This window comes from Homo sapiens, chromosome 15 (assembly GCF_000001405.40).
Source record: "Homo sapiens chromosome 15, GRCh38.p14 Primary Assembly".
Lineage (NCBI taxonomy): Eukaryota > Metazoa > Chordata > Mammalia > Primates > Hominidae > Homo > Homo sapiens.
In genome coordinates this window covers 63,558,315-63,578,054 of record NC_000015.10, presented here as the reverse complement: position 1 = coordinate 63,578,054, position 19,740 = coordinate 63,558,315, and the positions used below count along the sequence as shown (strand labels likewise).

At 39.2% G+C, this 19,740-nt stretch overlaps 1 protein-coding gene across 10 annotated transcripts in view, besides 1 other annotated feature; it reads right to left on the bottom strand.

Moving 5' to 3' along the window:
- Positions 1 to 19,740, bottom strand: part of USP3 (ubiquitin specific peptidase 3) — a 90,041-nt gene that overhangs the window by 16,579 nt on the left and 53,722 nt on the right. For all 10 annotated transcript variants that reach the window (NR_046341.2, NR_046342.2, NM_006537.4 and 7 more), the window contains 5 exons: positions 18,085 to 18,198; positions 15,047 to 15,160; positions 7,476 to 7,622; positions 3,903 to 4,009; positions 3,652 to 3,732 (listed from right to left, as the gene is read on the bottom strand). Coding sequence is in view for 8 of the 10 variants with exons in the window: in NM_006537.4 (NP_006528.2) it covers positions 3,652 to 3,732; positions 3,903 to 4,009; positions 7,476 to 7,622; positions 15,047 to 15,160; positions 18,085 to 18,198 (563 nt within the window). In the remaining 2 variants the exon portion in view is untranslated. The remainder of the gene's footprint in view (positions 1 to 3,651; positions 3,733 to 3,902; positions 4,010 to 7,475; positions 7,623 to 15,046; positions 15,161 to 18,084; positions 18,199 to 19,740) is intronic.
- Positions 17,817 to 18,370: an enhancer, noted in NCBI's record as "OCT4-NANOG hESC enhancer chr15:63851884-63852437 (GRCh37/hg19 assembly coordinates)". NCBI's record gives its function as "activates a minimal SCP1, AML or CMV promoter by ChIP-STARR-seq in primed H9 embryonic stem cells {active_cell/tissue: H9 hESC(primed)}" and the evidence as "EXISTENCE:reporter gene assay evidence [ECO:0000049][PMID:30033119]".

Genomic DNA, 19,740 nt, shown 5'->3' with positions numbered 1-19,740 from the left:
GATCTGCCCGTCTTGGCCTCCCAAAGTGCTGGGACTACACTGCACCCACCCCTTTCTTCTCCTTTTAATCAGTAATATATTTGGGATTTTATCAGTATCTATTTGGACTTTTTTTTTTTTTTTTTTGAGGCAGGGTCTCACTCTCTCACCCAGGCCTAGAGTACAGGAGCAGTGCAGGCTCAATGCAGCCTCCAACTCCTGGGCTCAAGTGATCCTCCTTGCCTAAGCCTCCCAAGAAGCTGGGATTATAGGCATATACCACCATGCCCAGTTAATTTTTCTTATTATTTTATTTATTTATTTTGAGACGGAGTCTCGCTCTGTCACCAGGCTGGAGTGCGGTTGCACGATTTCAGCTCACTGCAACCTCTGACTCCCTGGTTCAAGCTATTCTCCTGGGTCAGCCTCCCAAATAGCTGGGGTTACAGGTACTCCCCACCATGCCCAGCTAATTTTTGTATTTTTAGTAGAGACGGGGTTTCACCATGTTGGCCAGGATGGTCTCGATCTGACCTCATGATCCGCCTGCCTTGGCCTCCCACAGTGCTGGGATTACAGGCGTGAGCCACCACGCCCGGCCTTCTTTTCTTTGTACAGACAGGGTCTCACTATGTTGCCCAGGCTGGTCTCAAACTCCTGGGGTCAAGCAATGCTCCCACCTTAGCCTTCCAAAGTGCTGGGACTACAGGCATAAGCCACTGTGCCTAGGCATTTGGCCTATTAGGGCATTTTGATTTGTTTTCACCTAATTATATTTCTAGTATTAAATCAGTCCTATTTGATCTCTGAATATTATTGTTTTAGTACACTGCTGAGTTGTATTTGCTAATACTTTATTTAGGATTCTTCGATCTATAATATAAGTGAGATCAAACTACATTTTCTTTTTCATGGTATCTGTCAGGTTTTAGAACTGGGGTTATTTAATGCCTTTTGCAATATGCGTATTTTTAGTTAATTTCAAAAGTTACTTAAGTTATTTAAGATGGGTCTTTCTCACCATCACTTTTCCTTTCTAAAGGAAAACTAAGCTTAACAATTACAAATCCAAAAAGTACACAAGTAGTTCTTGCCAGGTGGACTCAAAGCACGTAGAAGACATACTAGGTAATCACAAGTCTCCATCTCCAGTAAATAAAGAAAGGTGTATCAGTCAACTGAAGTCCATGACATTCTGGATGTCCAAGAAGAGAAGTGCCCTTAATGATAAGGGTGGTCAACAAAAACACAGTGAGGAGGTACCAGACCCTGTCATCGACTTTTTAAAGCCGACAATAAGCTCTTAAATAAAAATCAAGCCTGAGGATTCAAACGAAAGCCAGCTGAGAATACAGGAAACATGTTTCCAGCCAAACCCTAAACTACTTGGGATGGTCTGGGCCCCCTGAAGCTAATACCAGTCACATCAGATTTCAAGGATTCTGTGCCAAGAAAAATACTCCGTGGGATGCAAGGCAGATGCCACTTGCCACTTTTCTTGTTTGGGGAAAAATCAGCCATCTATAAGCTGTGTCATGCACTCTCCTCCTGGATGGGCTCGAGAAGTGAGACTCTGCTTGATATTAAACTATTCTGGGATAAGTCGTAACTGAAATGTTATGAAAGTCAATAAGAACTACATATAGAACCAACTCAGAATGAGGGAAACAACATAGAAAAAAGGAAGGAAGCAAGGAAAGAAGCCTAAACAAACTAGTGTCTCTGAGTCTTCTAGCCAAAGATCATCTGGATTTACTAAGTTTTGTTAAACATCAGAAAGTACTGTTCAGGCTGGGTGCGGTGGCTCATGCCTGTAATCCCAGCACTTTAGGAAGCCAAGGGGTGTGGATCACTTGAGGTTAGGCGTTTAAGACCAGCCTAGCCAACATGGCAAAACCTCGTCTCTACTAAAAATACAAAAATTAGCCAGGTGTGGTGGCATACGCCTGTAGTCCCAGCTACTCAGGAGGCTGAGCCAGGAGAATCACTTGAACCTGGGAGGCGGAGGTTACAGTGAGCCAAGATCGCGCCACTGCACTCCAGCCTGGGCGACAGAGCAAGACTCGGTCTCAAAAAAAAAAAAAAAAAAAGTATTGTTCAGATATATATCCATGTATTTATAGCGAGGAACAGTTTTTAAACTAATGTGATTATTACTGTTCTTATTGAAGAGTTTATAAAATGATACAGTTTGAGGCTAATTCCTTTAATTTAATTCTCACTGACTTCCACTGTAAATAACCAGATATTCAGATATTTATGGTTAAGTTAGCATGTACTCACATGCCCTAGATATAAAGAGAAAATGTGTGACATTTGACAATATCAAGCATACTGTGATATTTTCTTAATCTCAAACAGGCCAAAAACAGTTTTGGAGACACATACTAGAGCCATATATTTTGCAGAGAAGTGGAGTGGGGCTTTTTCTTCTGTATTCCTGTTAAGGAGACAATCAACACTGGTTGTGTAGGTAAGGAACAAACTAAGAGCATCTACAAAATGTTTCATATACAGAGTTGCTCTGGTTCCTTACTGGAGTGTAGTCTAGTCATCCCACATATCATCTGACAGATTTCTAGAAACGACCTGAGCAACAGTGCTACAAGTGTCTGAGACCTCTGCTGCTTCTAATAAGCCAAATGCCTCACATTACATAGAATGCCAGTAGCACAGAGAAGCCTAGCCCTTCTCCAACAAAAGTTTTATTTCTACTAGGATAATCTGATCCTAGGGTAGTGCTGTCTAATGCAGGAGCCCCCTACTAGCCACATGTGGTTCCTGAGCACATGTGGTTCAAGTGTGATTAAGCAACAGAATTTTAAATTTTAATTAATTTAATTTTAATAGCTACATGACTCGTGGTTATCATATTGGACAGTGCAGTTTGTTTTGTAAAAAAAAAAAAAAAAAAAAACCATCATGACAATACTCCCTAAAATAGAGAAGAGAAAAGAGCATTACTTTTAGTGAACATACAAATCAGAGTAGAAACTGTTAGCTTCAGTGTAGAGTTTCTGATAAAATACAGACTCGGCCTCTTTGGTCTATCCTAGCTTCTTTATATAACTAGCAAGAACAATTAGTCATTTTAATTGTGACCTGTCTGTACACTTATGGTCTAGGATAAAATTTTAAATAAGGTCTTCTGCCTTGATTACAGTAGCTAGTACTCATCAAGCAAAAAATATGTTCAAATCTCCCTAAATACATGTGAATTTTAACAGTCTTAAAAGCAGGGCCTCAGGCTTAAGCAGCAGTTGTATCATCCATAGATTTCTCAAACTATTAGGCAACAGAATACGTAATACTATAATTTATAAAACTCTGCTGAGTATTCTTTCTTCCTATAGATGCTAGTGGGATAACCACAGAATAACTTCTGTTTCATTTGGTCAGAAAAACTTTTGCTACAGACCTTCTATTTTAAAGTCAGTATTTCAAAGAAGAAAAAGGTGAGAAATATTTTATGCTTCACACAATATCTTATGGCACACATTCTTATTCAATAACATTTTGGGGAGTAGGAAAAGACATTCAAGTTTGACTTTTGTTAAGTTACAACACAGATTCATTAAAGATATTAATTAAAGATACCACATATAGATGAAGCTTATCAATCTATTCAATTATTTAAAGAAAAAAATTTTTAGAACATTCAAGTATCTTTACCTCGTAACGAACAAACTGGTCCATTTTCTTGATTCTTAGAGCGCTTACTTCTGAACTGACTTGGAATATCTAATGAAAGGTCTTAAAAGGAGAGAGAGGTAAACAGAGAGCTGTTAAAGGCATATATGTCCATTCAAAATAATTTCACAAACTGATGTATTTCTAGATTTCTCTTTACACTTATTTTTTGAAGGAAACATTAAATTTATTTTAATAAAATATTATATATCCACATGCCACATATATCTTACCTAGGAATGGATCAAACTTTCTAGATTCTGTCCCACATATGAGGCAGTTAACCTCATTTTGGAGAATGCCTCCGAATATAGCCGTGACAACAGTAGATGCTCCATTTCTAAACAAAATCACCACACAGGAAAATATCTCAGTAAGAAGCCATCTCTTTGACATTTAAAAAACTACAAATATTTGTTAAAGCCCCTACAGATGACTGCCTTTGAGGGAATATTTAAGTCATTTATTTCTAAGTTAAAAAATAATATAAAAATTTCAAAACCATACAGACACATACTAAATAAAAGGTTTAAGCTACACTGGCCTCCCCCAATGCCCTCATCCAATCCCACTACTTTCCCCAAGAGTAACTAACACTGGCCATTTGCTATCATAACACAGATCACATGCATGACTCTGCACAGGGCAACATGACTCCTTCCATTTCCTCCCCAAGTTAGGCCTCAAAAGGATGAAACTGCCTTGTATTGGAATCTTTGCAAGGCCTCTTACATTACAGGGAACTCTCACAATTACTTGACTTTGAACATCCTTGATCTGAGATAGTTTTAGAGTTTTTATACAGCCATCTGTCAGATTTGGGGAAAAGGAAGTAAAGGAATTTAATACAGATTTAGTAATTACTGCTGGAAGTAAGACTTCACAATTGAAAATTCTGGATATTACTGCGGAGAACACTTTTTAAAAAGCTCACTTAATATTGCAAATAATTTCCTTGTGGAGATGAAGAATATACTGTTTTAAGAACGATTTTCAAAACCACCTGCCCTAATGTTATTTAACCTTTTTATGCCTCTGCTCCATCAGATATAAAACAGGAATACAGGAAGAGTACCCACCACAGAGGCTCAGTGTGTAGATGAGAGAGTTGTGTATGTGAAGTGCTTTTAGAAGAGCACTTACCAAAAATAAAGCACTTAAAGTGTTTGCCACTATTTTATTAGTATGAAGTCAGATTACACCTGCTTCTTACTTTTATGTTTTTCCCTAAGTGTGTATCTTAAACAGGTACCTCATTCTTCCTGACAGCCCCACTGTGTGTCAGAGTATGGACATACAATGGAAGCAAGAACTACTGAGAAAGCGTACCAGTGAGACCAGGAGTAGTAGGCACTTATAATAGCACTTACTACACGCAGGCTCCATTCCAAGCACATTCTTTCCATCTAGTCAATCAATTAATCTTCACAACACACCTGTAAAGTAGCTACTGTTAGCCCCATGTTGTAGATGAGGACGCTGAGGTTAAGTTAGTCCAAGGTCATACTGCTGGTCTGGCCTGAATATCTGTTCTTAACACAGCTCTTTCAATTGTTTGCTATCATTAATAGTACTACATGAACACTTGTCTATTAGCCTTCGTGCACTTACGGAGTTACTTGAGCCAATACACGCTCTTTTTTGCTAATAGCAATATAAGGTAGTTTCTGTCACTTGAATCAATTACTCCTAAACACTGAAGTGTATTTTCTAGGCCACTTTAAGTTAAACCTACTGCAATGATGACAAAACCTACTCGAGCAATTCTATTTGAAAAGTTTGATTCCTTTTCTAGGAAAAGGCTTCCTTCCTTTACTGACAAAATAAATAGGCTGTAACTTTATTATTACTTTTTAAAGTACTGTTTGTAAGACATATTGTCTTAAATTTTTTTTTAAAAGATGGCATTGGGGAAGAAGGATTGGGAGCTGTAGGACCTAGTGGCCATTTCAGCTTTAGGTTTAATATCTGTGTCACTAAAAAAGGACATAGCAAAAAAAAAAACAAAACCCTGCTGAAAATGAAGGGACTCTAACTGACCCTTTCATGCTGATGTTCACATACAAGTTTGCCTTTAATTAAAATGGAAACTGCTTCATTAAGAATTACATTTAGACTCAATGTAGTTCTTCCTTGTAATCACTTCCTCTGGGAAATGGATACTCATCAAGATTTTAGCTGCCTGACATGTTTAATATTAAGTTTCATATATACCATGACTTAATATTAAAAATGAGTTTCATTTATTATAACCACAACTGTTTAAATATTGAATACTTATTGGATAGGCTCTTATGATTCTAGGGTCCTTTAGCTGGCACTAATGATTTCCTATGTGCTATAAAGATCACATCTGCCACTTATTTCTTCCATACCACCGTCCTCACCTTCACCTTCAGTAGGGGTAGGTGTGTGTGTGCACAAGTCAACAAAGACATTGCACAAGATACCTTTTTCTAGTTGTAGCAAATATTCTTAGATCCTGAAATGGCTTTTCCAATGCACTGAAGGAAATCTGAATTTTTAATATTTGATAATGTTTGGTTTCTGTCCCTAACTCAGTAATAAAACTTGCAATCCTAATCTTTAAAATGTCATGAAAAGGGATAGATTAATCCTGAAAACTCATGAGGCACTAAAAGAACATTCTGAGTATTACACAGTGTGATTCCACAGGGTGCCCAGGCATCATGTAAAATCATAAAGACATATACCCTCTCTCACCTCACACAGCCTATCCATGATAGTGCCCAGTTCAATATCCTTTGTGGATGAATATGCCATGATAAAATACAAAACAGAATTTTTCATTTAATACTTTTTAATTTGGTGCTAGCAGGAAGAACAATTCTCCCAGGTCACAGGTCCTTCCCTTTCTATATTGGATTCTAATTGGAATCACAGCTACTAGGACCTAGAGGGACAATCATTTTGAGAAGTATGGCAATTCACATTGGTTGCCCTTTTCTAACACTGCTTGGTTAGCTATAAGCCTGTTTTGCCATTAAAAAGAAGTAGTCCTACCACATCCGATTTATGGACTGCCAGGCAATACAATGACACCTATATGTTACTTACTGTTTTCTCTCTGTTTGGGGGGAGTTTGTCTTCTTGTAAATCTCTCCCATGAAGCTCAATACTGATGAAACTTTTCAAAACATTTGAACAAAGGAGGCTGCAACTGACCAAAATCCAGGCTAAAATAACATTAAATCTTCCCTTCTTCAAGCAAAATAAGTGTCCTGATCTCAGTGTATACTTGGGGGCTGCTAGTACATGGGAAAGCAATCCAAAAGCTTTGTTTTATTCATATTGAGAGGCAAGAAAAACTTCTGAGAACTTACAAATGCCTCGATTTCATTAAAGAACAGATAAACTTTAGGAAAGTTCAAGTCCATAATGAAGCTTTAGGAAAGTTCACATTCAAAATGTTTTAAGCTTTTGTTTTTAGTGAACAAATATTATTTTGGTATATGAAAATTAAGTCTCCTGCCTATCATTCAGTATATTTGGAGGAAATCTTCTAAATGCTGAACTGTACAAATATTTTCTATTTTTTCAAAATTTAAAATAATCTATACCAATTAATCACAGTCAGAACTAAATCAGGATGCAAATACAAGATGCCTCTGGTCTAGAAGCAAGAGGTATGTGCTAGTTCACTGGGTCACAAAGTTCAAGGGCACGAAAAGTTCCAGCAAATGTCCAAGAAACCCCTCTACCTTCCGTTATAAATCTAACACATAATTAACACCAAAAGAAATGTCTGAGGCCCTCCTAAAAAACAGAAGGCAACTAAATCTTACATGCAACACTTGTTACTTGCAGACAGAGTAGAATTCTCCTGCAGAATTGCTGAGCGGGAAACACCGTTGAAACCGCCCTGAAGTTCCAAGTGTAGGTGGTCCAAAAGGTAGCGCATGAATTCATGGGCGTCCTGCTGTTGATAGCCCCTAAAGCAAACAAACAGTCACTTATAAGGCCGGGTGGAGGGCTCTTTGTGCCCAGCCACACCAGCAAGAGGCCAAGGCGTGGAAAAGGACGGCAGCCCCGTGCTCACAAGCACAGCCAGGCTTCCTCACCTTCATGCCCGAAAGCTCCACAGGTGACAGAATTTCTCTTCAAGAATGAATTCTACTGTTTAAGATAGGTTTGAAAACCAAAAAATATTGGAGCTAATTGGATTTGCAATGATCTCCTCACTTCAGAGGTGAGGAAATTGTGGAGGTGGCGGGGTGGTATGTGACTTCCCCAACGTCCTACAGCAAGAGAGTAACAGAGATGGGACTACACCTTTGTTTCCTGGTGGACTCTGACTCTTCTCCCTGCCCACATAACCTCTCTAGAAGATGCTCCAATGTCATAGCTTCACCTCTTACCCTCACTAGAAAACCAGGTGTGAACCACTACTATAAGAAAGGGGAATTTAAAATTATTAATGACTCCTTAGATTGAAAGATACTAATTTTTAAACACTGCCTGAAAGGAAGAAACACTTTACTGAAAGAGTTAAATACTTTTTAAAAATGCATTGGCTCATATACAGTTATGCTCTATCCTAAAACTTGAATTTATATAACAACATATTCTTAGGTTACTTCTTACAGTATAGTCAGACAGGAAACTATATGAAATTCTTATACGAATATATAGATCAATGACAGTGAACAGGAACAAAGGCAGACAAAATGAAACTGGAACAGGTGGAAGGTCTGGGAAGTTACTTGGATGAAATAAAGAAAGCATTGCTATATAAAGTACTTTTATAAAACTAAAATAAAAAAAACTTCTGTCTGCATTTTGCCAGCATGGAAGGTCTCTTTAATTAATCTAAATCATTAAGTTTTTCTGGTGTCATCTTAAGATTCAAAACTCCCACTACTCTTCCAGGCAACGGTTCCATAAAATTTCTTCCAACCAGAGTTTCTGTCAATATATATTTTCCCCTTTTCCTGGAAATTATAAATTATGAAAACAATCTCCCTAACCAATGGAACTTTGGAACTTAAAGTCAGAAGTTACTCTGGCATTTCACTGTAGCTTTTTCTAAACTAGCTGGCAACTAAATATCAATATATGTGTTCAAGTATTTCTTCTAAGGCTCATCAATAAAAATGTTAAAATTCAGCCAAAAGCATTCAAAGTTGGTAGTTCCTTTGTATATCTAAGGAGGTACCTTAAACTTATTTAATACAATATCCATTATTTTCATGACTCAAAGGTAAGATTAGTAGTTTTAGTATCTGAAATTCTATCACTTACAAAAAAATTTCATTCTCTCCCCAAAATAACCTAATATCTAAGTCATCATTTTCCTAAAATGTATCATGAAAACCAGCACCTTATAGCTATACCAATTTGCATTTTCATCAAGTCAACACAAGCCCATCCCATTTTAAAAAACAATGTGCCTCGTGTACATTAATGTATGTGTCCAACCATACCGTGATTTTCTTATATCAAAATGCATTATTTTCTATGTTTCCTATACCATTACAAACACATCTTCTTTAAACTACATGAGATCACGGAACACTCAGCTATTCTATAAAGGTAGGTTATGAGTCTATTTCAACTTGTGAAATTTACCAGGGAACACTCCCTGCTGCTCAGACTGGAACTTTTTCTAATTCTTACTAAACAGACATTTACAATTCTCTTTCTAAACATTTAAATGTATAACTTCATTGACTTATCTGAAAGCCTTAATATTTTATTTAGCATATTAAATTCAACAAATTTCAGTTATCTTTTCAATCATTTTCTAGTTGTATGACTGGGCTTCAGAATTGACTCTGTAGTCAACTTCAGTTTCTCTTGTTTTATAATCATGTTAAAGGAAACAGTCCTCACATTTGGGTGCTGTGTTTATGTTTTGTATACACATTTCAGCAATGTCACCCAAACAGCTGTTTGAGAATTAGTGAGGAAATGCATTTATGAAGAACTAGTGTCCCTGTGACAGACCGGAAGTACAGGAGAAAAGAAAACAGAGGCAAATAACTGGCTCCAATTTTTTTTTTTTTTTTTTTTAGATGGAGTCTCGCTCTGTCGTCAGGCTGGAGTGCAACGGTGCTATCTTGGCTCACTGCAACCTCCGACTCCCTGGTTCAAGGGATTCTCCTGCCTCACTCAGCTCCAGAGTAGCTGGGATTACAGGCACGTGCCACCACGCCCAGCTAATTTTTGTATTTTTGGTAGAGACGGGGTTTCACCATGTTGACCAGGATGGTCTCGATCTCCTGACTCGTGATCCGCCCGCCTCGGCCTCCCAAAGTGCTGGGATTACAGGCATGAGCCACCATACCCAGCCAACTATGGCTCCAATTTTAACACTGTTCCTTCTCTCATTTGTCACGTCAGACAAAGATTACCCCCTTCTCCTAAATCTGTCATGAGGATGCTGTGACAAATCACTGGGGGAGAGAGCACACTGCAAACACAGAAAGCCTAGAAGGTCTTGAACCATCCATTCCGAACACTGCTGAAGCACAGTGTACAGGAACACGCGGCAACTGTCTCTTCACAAGGTTTTGGCACAATGACTACAAACCAAATTTCCCCAAATCTTAAAGACAAATAAATGTTCCAATAAAAAATGATCAAGCCGGGTGTGGTGGCTCACGCCTCAAATCCCAGCACTTTGGGAGGCTGAGGCAGACGGATCACCTGAGGTCAGGAGTTTGAGACCAGCCTGGCCAACATGGCAAAACCCCATCTATCAAAAAATACAAAAATTAGGCCAGGCACGGTGGCTCACGCCTGTAATCCCAGCACTTTGGGAGGCTGAGGCAGGCAGATCATGAGGTCAGGAGATCGAGACCATCCTGGCTAACACGGTGAAACCCCGTCTCCACTAAAAATACAAAAAATTAGCCGGGCGTGGTTGCAGGCGCCTGTAGTCCCAGCTACTCGGGAGGCTGAGGCAGGAGAATGGTGTGAACCTGGGAGGTGGAGCTTGCAGTGAGCCGAGATCGTGCCACTGCACTCCAGCCCGGGCAACAGAGCGAGACTCCGTCTCAAAAAAAAAAAAAAAAAAAAAAATTAGCCAGGCATGGTGGTACACACCTGTAATCCCAGCTACTCGGGAGGCTGAGGCAGAAGAATAACTTGAACCTGGGAGGCGGAGGTTGCACTGTGCCATTGCACTCCAGCCTGGGCAACAGAGCGAGACTGTCTCGAAAAAAATCAAATAAAACGTTAGTTTGCACCTGCTTGAGTGTGAAAAGCAGACGTTCCAAATAATGAAATTAACATCCCAGAATATAGGCACATAAAAGGACTCATGTGTTCCCACCACATACTTAACTATGACATGCCTGCACATTACTATTTTCTGTGTCTTGGCAGTGCCAGTATATAATCTGTATATATTGTATGTAGAAAGAGATATACATATGTATAATCTAAAATACCTAAGATATGTTAGAATTTTAGGTTCTGCTCATATTTAAAATATCCTTGACATTAAAAAAAGAATTCTAAAGTTGTTGTTTTGGCCAAAATATCTGCAAAACGAAAATAAGTTAAATGTATTCCTACTCAGTATTTGGCAACAATCATGACTGAGTTTCCTCAAAACAAAAACACCAGAAAACAAAACTGACAAAAATGAATTAGTGTTTACAAACACACAAATACAATAGCAAAATTCTTGGCTACAGTGAAAATGGTTTAAATATCAAATATCAATAGCATAGTATTTTAAAATCTTTTCACAAATATCCCAAAAAGACTATTGTTAAATAAAACTTTAATTAAAGTATCACACGTGGCCAGGCACGGTGGGTCACAACTGTAATCCCAGCACTTTGGGAGGCCAAGACGGGTGGATCACGAGGTCAGGAGTTTGAGACCAGCCTAGCCAACATAGTGAAATCCCGTCTCTATTAAAAATACAAAAAAATTAGCCAGGTATGGTGGCACGCACCTGTAGTCCCAGCTACTTGAGAGGCTGAGGCAGGAGAATCACTTGAACCCAGGAAGCAGAGGATCCTGCAGTGAGCCCAGATCATGCCACTGCACTCCAGTCTCGGCTACAAAGCGAGACTCAAATAAAAAATAAAATTAAAAAAAAAAAAAGCATCACAGGCAAAGATCTATTTTTTGTCTACAAAAATCCTTTACATTGTCTATAAACCTGAGAAGAGCAAGCAAATATAAGAATTATGTGCCAATGATTATTTACCCATCATTTTAAACATTAATTATAACAAGAACTGATTTAAAAAAATAAAGTTCCATCTTGGGAAGTCAAGACAAATATATTAAATCAGGTTGTACAGAAAGACCTGATTTGAATCATCAAGAGACTTTCCTGAAGAGTGTTAGCTTTAACCGGGATCCTAGACAAAGAGATAGGGACCACAAGGCAAATCCTGTGGGCAGAAGCACATGACATACAGAGACAGCAAAGCAGCAAGACAGAGCTGTGTTAAGAAAAGCAAGGAGTGACAAAGGCTAGCAGAAAAGACTATCAAAATTACAGAAGAACATTTCCTTGAGCCCGGCACTTTCTCTCTTAGATACCTGCACATGTATGTAAAATACTACTCACTGCAGCACTGTTTAGAACAGCAAAGACTAGAAACAGTCCATAAAGCCACTGGGAGGGGACTTGGACACAAATTATGATACAACTGTAAAATGGTCTGAGGAAGCTATTTGTATACTAATATGAATCATCTCAAAGTGGGGAAAAAAAGATGATACATCACCAATTACATTAAAAATGACATAAACACACACACACACTTGTCTGTATATGCACACAGAATATCTGAAAGGATACACAAAACTCTAGTAACTATGGTTGCTTCCAGAAAACAGAATGAATGGCTAGGGAACAGAATAAAACATTCACTGCATATTCTTTTGTTACCTTTTGAATTTTGAACCACATATGTTTTTGCCTATTTAAGAAAATACACTTTAAAGTATTTTTATGAAAAGCAAAAGGATAGAAAGAGCTGAACATACTAAGAAATCATAAGAAGTGTGGTAAGTACATATGTATGTTGGAAAAGGTCAAAACTTCAAGAAAATTTTCCCTGCTAGGTAACTGGCTTTTAGTTTCAGTGGGGAAAAAAAAGAAAGAATAGGCTTAATGATTTCTCTATCCAAAGCTGCTGATTACATTGAGGGTGTGTGTGTTTTGGGGGTGTGTGTATGTATATATATTTGTGTATTTAATAGATGAAAGATGTTTCTACTTCTACACGCATGTTTGTATTTCAGAGTCCTCATATTTCATCCCAAAGGATCAAGTTCTCTAGACACTGTCTGTCATGTGTTAATCAAGGAAAATGGGCTTTTTAAACCTAAAAAAAATTTCTTTGGGATTATAAATAAACATAAATCAAGATTCATGCACTTACACACAGGCATGTTATAAGAATCTTACCTGCATACCTCACAGGGTAAGAGCTGTAAAAAGCAAGCCCCACCTCCCTGCCTCACACCTGGGCATTGTGCAGTGACCTGCACTAAAGCTTTATCCATGATATAATCTCAAGATCTAGATCTGACCAAGAGAAAAACTGTTCTTTGATTACATAAAAATGGGGAACAATCTCAATTACTGCAGAACTAAGAGCAAGCCCAGCTAAGAATACAAAAGCACCCTATTCTCATCAGCCATTCAAGAAATTTAAGAGTTCATGTATGATCTGAAATCTTCCCCAGAGACTCCACATGCTACATTCGTCAGCCTGGTTACCTTATTCCTTCATCAGTAGGAATATTCCAATGTGGAAATTAAACAGCTAAAAACTACATCATGCTCACAGTTGGGCTACAGAAGCTAGAAAGGACAGAGATGTGGAAAGATTTACAGGAAAAGCAGATTTCTACTGTATAAAATATGATAATGTTTCTAAGCTTTCAAGAATGAGGGATCTTGGTCACCATGGGGATCAAGGAAAACAGTATCAAATTAGTTAACGGGCCTTGTTCAAGGTATGTGGGCAAATCATTGTCAACAAATCTATTATTAGCCAACTCCACAAACACCTGGACTCTAATTTTGGTCATTACCCCACGAGATGTATAAACTTAAACAAGTCGCTTCTCCTCTCTGTCTCAGTTTTGTCTCCTCTAAAATGGGGGCAATATTTCCTGCTTGGCTGGAATTTTGTTCTTGCTTGTTTTTTAATGAAGACCAGATAAAAAATACCCAGTGGGTGGCACACAGTAGGCATTCAATAAATGTAAACTATTATTATATAATAATAAAACACAAAGACTAAACTTCTATCAAGAGTCTACTAGGTGATTTATGTTAGAAATTTTTTTATTAGGTCCAGACCTGGACAGTGGTAACTTAACTGTCATTCCTGCCTTTCCTTCTTAAAGTCAAGACATTCTCAAATTCTTATGTTTTTCCTGACAGGAGATTTAAATAGTATGATACATAAAAGGAGTTTCTTTCAAAACCAAGACTAGGGTTAACACTAGTTACTCATGTCAGATCCTCAAGACTAGACTTTTTAGCAAGGCAACAATTTAAAGTCCTTTGAAGTTAATTACCTTTTAAATATTTATCTATATTAACTACATCTTTTTAGGCAATAGGGCAAGATAGATGACTAAGTTTACTACAGCATGAATTTTTTTTAAAGAAAAGTAGAAGGGATGTATATTAGGTGCCAAAATCATAACTAGTAAGAACCATGACTTGCTTCAGAAGGGTAAAATCGGCAGAAGGTGGCCAAGGCTGCTGTCAAACACCTGTAGTGCCTCAAAGCTGCTATCACCCGAATCCCTACAGGGATGACAGACCTACGAGAAAAGGCAGGATTCCTCTGACAGCTAGGTGTACAGCAGAGGTGTATTTTGCTCAAGCGAGGTGAGACAGAAAGCATGGGCACCACAGCAGCTCTCTGGCCACACCGGGATGTGGCACAGCTGCCTTCTGGAGAGTGCATCCCAGGCGCTTGACCACAGCCTTCCCAGAGCTGCCGAACTCAGCTCCGAACAGTTCATATAATACCATGCACTTCTACTGATCTTATTAATTTTTTTAGCTGGAATAACAAGACAGTGTGTGATGGTAATTATTCTACATTGTGAAAGAATTAAGGAAATTTTGTCCAGTATGTTTTCCTAGTGCGCATAAGTTATTTATAAGGGCTTTATGTTTATAGCAACAAAATACCCCACCTCTTGTTAAAGACATTTCTATAGTCTATTATTTAAATAAACACATGTGTTTAGTCAGATGTATTCAATTTCAGCTCTTCTTCTTAAAAAGAAAAAAACACCAAACCAGTCTTAAGTATTTAGAATATTTAGAATACAACCACTTCATTAGGAATTATTTCAGGAACAGTATAAACACTAATATTAATGTTTAAAAATATCTTCATATAATACTTACCTAAAGTTTGGCATAATCTTCCAAACAACATAAAATAAGGACTCTGGGCTAAATGCAGTCTGGCTGCCTTGCCATAAAGCACAGAGTGTCTTTCTAAACTCTTCTACCAAAGACCTGCAAAAGAGGAAAGGACAGTGCCCTCAGATTAGTGAGAGGCTACAATTTCAACACAGCGTCCACCCATCTAAAATGCCTAATATATAGGAAATGAACACTTAAAAAGGATTTGGTCTTTTCTGAAGAAAGTCTGAAAGATACATAAGAGCATCTCAAAAACCCATAAAAGTAGCAGTAATTCTGACAAAGCTAATTTGTAACCATATGGTTAACTCTGAGTGTGCCCATGCACCGCCATGTTTGTACACTTTGAGTTAAAACACGCAAGCAAACCATACAGCACTGGGTGAGTTATAGGCCAAATGACTTAAGAATGTACATTTTCAAAATGCAAAACAAGCATTCGGCTTTCTTTCTCCCCCTCCTGCCTTGTCCTTCTTGCCACTCACTAGCACCCCCAGACTCCAGCCTGTGTCACTAACCTTCACCACTCAGCTCTCCACCAGTGACTCTCAACTCCAAAAGTCAGATTTTCTCATGACTATTTTTATTTAAACTTCTCCAGTTTCCAGCAGGAATTTTCTGCGGGAGGTCCTCTTGTCACTTTCACCTCTATGTGCACTGACCGGCTCCAGCATCTACTGCTCTCTGTACACCTCTCCTATCACCCAATATCCACACTCTTCTCGCATATGAATAGAACGCTCATTTTTTTCCTGGGCATATAAACTCTCCCAATAAAAAACTGAGTGTGTCCAAATTCTGGGAAATGTCTTAAAAAGAAAGAGTAGTCCTATAATAATCCTTTCCTTCTTCCTGCTAGGAATGAGGACGGAGTTGGGGAGCCCCAGCACCATGGGGGACTATGTGGATGGATAGGGCCTCTGGAGGTTGGTGGAAAAGAAAGCCAGGAGGAGCCCGATGGCTTTGTCAAACCACCCTAGACAGACAGCCTCTGACTTTTATGTGAGGAAACAAACCATGGATGTTTAAGTCACTTAATTTTGGTTTTCTACACCTGTGGCTAAACTGATCCAACTCAACTTCAACTTCCATAGCTGTCAACATAAGCACCATATTTTCGGATACTTGATTGGTATCTCAGAGAATCTCAATATCTTCTTTCTCAACCCTCACAATCACATAGGTCCCTGGAATACAAATCATATTTTTGACTTCCTAGTACTTGAACCCTCTTCCTATGTTGGAGAATCCCTACTTTTAAGAGTTTGCCTCCCACTTCCGAAGCTAAACAGCCAGACACTCGCCTTCTCAGGCTCCCTTGCAGTCAGAGCACAGGTACACAGCCTGGGCTTTGCCCATCCGAAGCAGGAGTTAGTGACACAAAGAAGAAGGGATGGCACCAAATCCTCTCTGGTAGCAGGGGGGGCAAAGAGCACCATCCGGAGTGCAGGGCAGCAGCATGGCTGTGTCCGCCAGCACCCATCTCCAGCAGTGCTGGCAACAGGAACTCTGCTGCTGCGCTGGGCACCAGAGGCAGTGGTGGCCTTACAGGACAGTTCTGTGGGGTGACTGTGACTGCGGTGCTGCTGCCTCGGACTCCAGACCTGATTTTTCACTCACCCAGTATGATTAGCTCACCAATAGCCCTGCAGTAAATTCCTTTGCTGCCTAAATCAGCCAAAGGCAATTTCTACAGCCTGCAACTCAACCCTGCATGACATGAATGCATCAAGTACTACTAACTCTTCTCTTAACTCATACACATGTATTTTTTCTACTGTTTCACTGCTGTCCCCTCTGACCTGATTACTGTAGAGTGCAAAGCCTCCTTGAATGCAGGCACTTTCAACTCATCCTAGATGCTGCTCAACTCATCCTAGATGCTGCTGTGAGGGAAACTCCCTTCAAACACCACTTGTAGTGACGTCATTCCAGCCCTGCTCCACGCCTGGCTTTCCAGTTTCCCTGCACTGTGACTCTCGCCCTACTGCCCATTATTCTGACATGTTCAGTCCTACTCTCCCTCAGCCACCAAGGCAGGAAAGTGTCTGATCACCCCTTCAGAATGAGTGAGAATGGGAGTGTGTGGAAGTGGAGGAGGCAGACAGAGAAAACATTAAATATATAAGGAGTACGAGTCACAGTCCTTCTGAAAAAGAGCTGTAAAGTTATGAAAAATGTGCTCACTACAATTGTCATAATGAAAGATCTTCTGAACCACAAATAAGGGAGGTCTACACCAAATGAGGATACAGGATTGGTTCTTAATGAGCACTTGTCCGTTTTCTTCCCCCCCTCTCCGTATCAACCAAAAATTGACTTTATTCCCCCACAACTAATCTGTTGACTACAAATTAATTTCAGTATCCAAGACAGGTTTACCTAACACTGTCGGACAAATCAACTCACATGGACTAATGAGATTCATAGTCATCTACACCTAGAACTGCACTTCATATCTAGATGCCAATTCTAGAATGCCCAAATCTGCAGAGTCAATAAGTAGAATGCTAAATTTATCCCTCCTGTTACGGTAAATAAAGGAATCCCAACAATTTTTTTTTTTTTTTTTGAGATGGAGTCTCGCCCTGTCACCTAGGCTGGAGGGCAGTGGCGCGATCTCGGCTCACCGCAACCTCTGCCTCTTGGGTTCAAGCGATTCTCCTGCCTCAGCCTCCCGAGTAGCTGGGATTACAGGTACCCGCCACCATGCCCGGCTAATTTTTGTATATTTAGTAGAGATGGGGTTTCACCATGTTGACCAGGCTGGTCTTGACTGACCTCAGGTGATCCACCCGCCTCAGCATCCCAAAGTGCTGGGATAACAGGCGTGAGCCACCACACCCGGCCGGAATTCCAACAATTATTAAGATTGCTAACTAGATATTTAAACACAATTTTTAGAAGATTTTTTTTAAGGCATGTGCCTGTTAGCTCACTTAGTACAATGGAAACCACCAGTGAAAGTAATTTGTTTTGTAACTCAAAGCCAGAAAGGACATACTCTTATAACTCACACATTGTTATCCCCTTGGCTCCTGGTGTGGTATGTCCGCCTTCCTGCTGTTTTCCCATTCCTTAACTCCACGGCGGGCAGTTCTTTGAAATAACAGCAAAACTGCTCAATGTTACTATTTTAAAAGGAAGGGAAAAATATTTTAAAAAGAAAAGAATAGGACTGTAAAGAAAGTTGATGAAGCCTACATATACATTTTGAAACTGCCATTTTTCAATTGTCTCATTTAAACTGTACTCAGTGCAATCTCTTGCATTCAGATTCTTCATTATGATTTTTCCTTCTCTCTAAGAAAACAGTATAGACAGATGACTTTGTAAAAAAACAAAAACAAAAAACAAAGAGCTGAAAACAAAATCTCTTTTCAAAAAAATCCCCAATTCTCCCTCCAGCTATAGGTAGTCACCATTTCTTTCTTTTCGGTTGCTTGTTTCCAGTTATTCAATAATTTCCTCAAATAAAAACAAACCATGAAACCGACCATATTATTTTGATACACTATACAGAATCCTAAGGAGAATTCAGTAGTAATTATAATTTCCTCTTTGAGCAAGAAGAGATAAGCTAAGAGGCAGTGCCTTCCAGGAGAGATCAAATATGCCTTCTGCTTCTTATCAGCAATGTAACCTTGGGAAGATCATTTATTCTGGCCTTTGATGTCTCATTAAAATCTAAAAGTATGCAACTTTCAAAATAATTTATTCTACAAAACTTAAGTCAGCCTTGTTGACTATTTTATTTTTACTACTTGTCTCATATTTTGAAGACATCTCATCTTATGACCTTGATTAACCCATTTATGCCTAGTGTTCCATTATTGGAACGCTAAGCTTCTGGGAGTTATTTATATCTTACTGATCGAGGTCATCACCAACGTCTGATTTTTCATACAGAAAAATTGCAACCTCTGACATAAATGGGTTAAAACTTAACTAATGACTGAAATAAGCTCTCTGAACAAGGCTCTCTGTAACCCAGGGGTCTGCAAACTGTAGCCCACAGGCCAAATCTAGCCCTCCACCAGGCAGCTCTTAAAGCGAGTTTTAAATTTTTAAAGTGTTGTTTTATTTAATTAATTAATTAATTTATTTATTTTTGAGACAGGGTCTCGCTTTGTCACCCAGGCTGGAGTGTAGTGGCGCCATCTTGGCTCACTGCAACTTCCACCTCCTGGGTTCAAGCGATTCTCCTGCCTCAGCCTCCCAAGCAGCTGGGACTAGAGGCGCATGCCACCACGCCCAGCTAATTTTTGTATTTTTAGTAGAGATGGGGTTTCACTATGTTGGCCAGGCTGGTCTCAAACTCCTGACTTTAGGTGATCTGCCCGCCTCAGCCTCCCAAAGTGCTGGTGGGATTACAGGCCTGAGCCACTGCACCTGGCCCTAAAGTGTTGTTTTAATAAAGAGCGGGGGGGTGGGGGATATCTGAGAGAGACTGTAGCCTGAAATACTAAAATGTTTACTATCAGGCCTTTCACAGAAAAAGTTTGCTGACCTCAGTTCTAGCCTATTCAAAAAGCAACCGGAAATAACCGCAAACAACTATTCACTGCAGGACACTGCTCTAAGTACTTTAGACAAATTACATTATTCAATCTTCCCAACTACCCCATGAGGTAGGAACTACTGTCCCCAATTTTACTGATGAGGAAACAAAA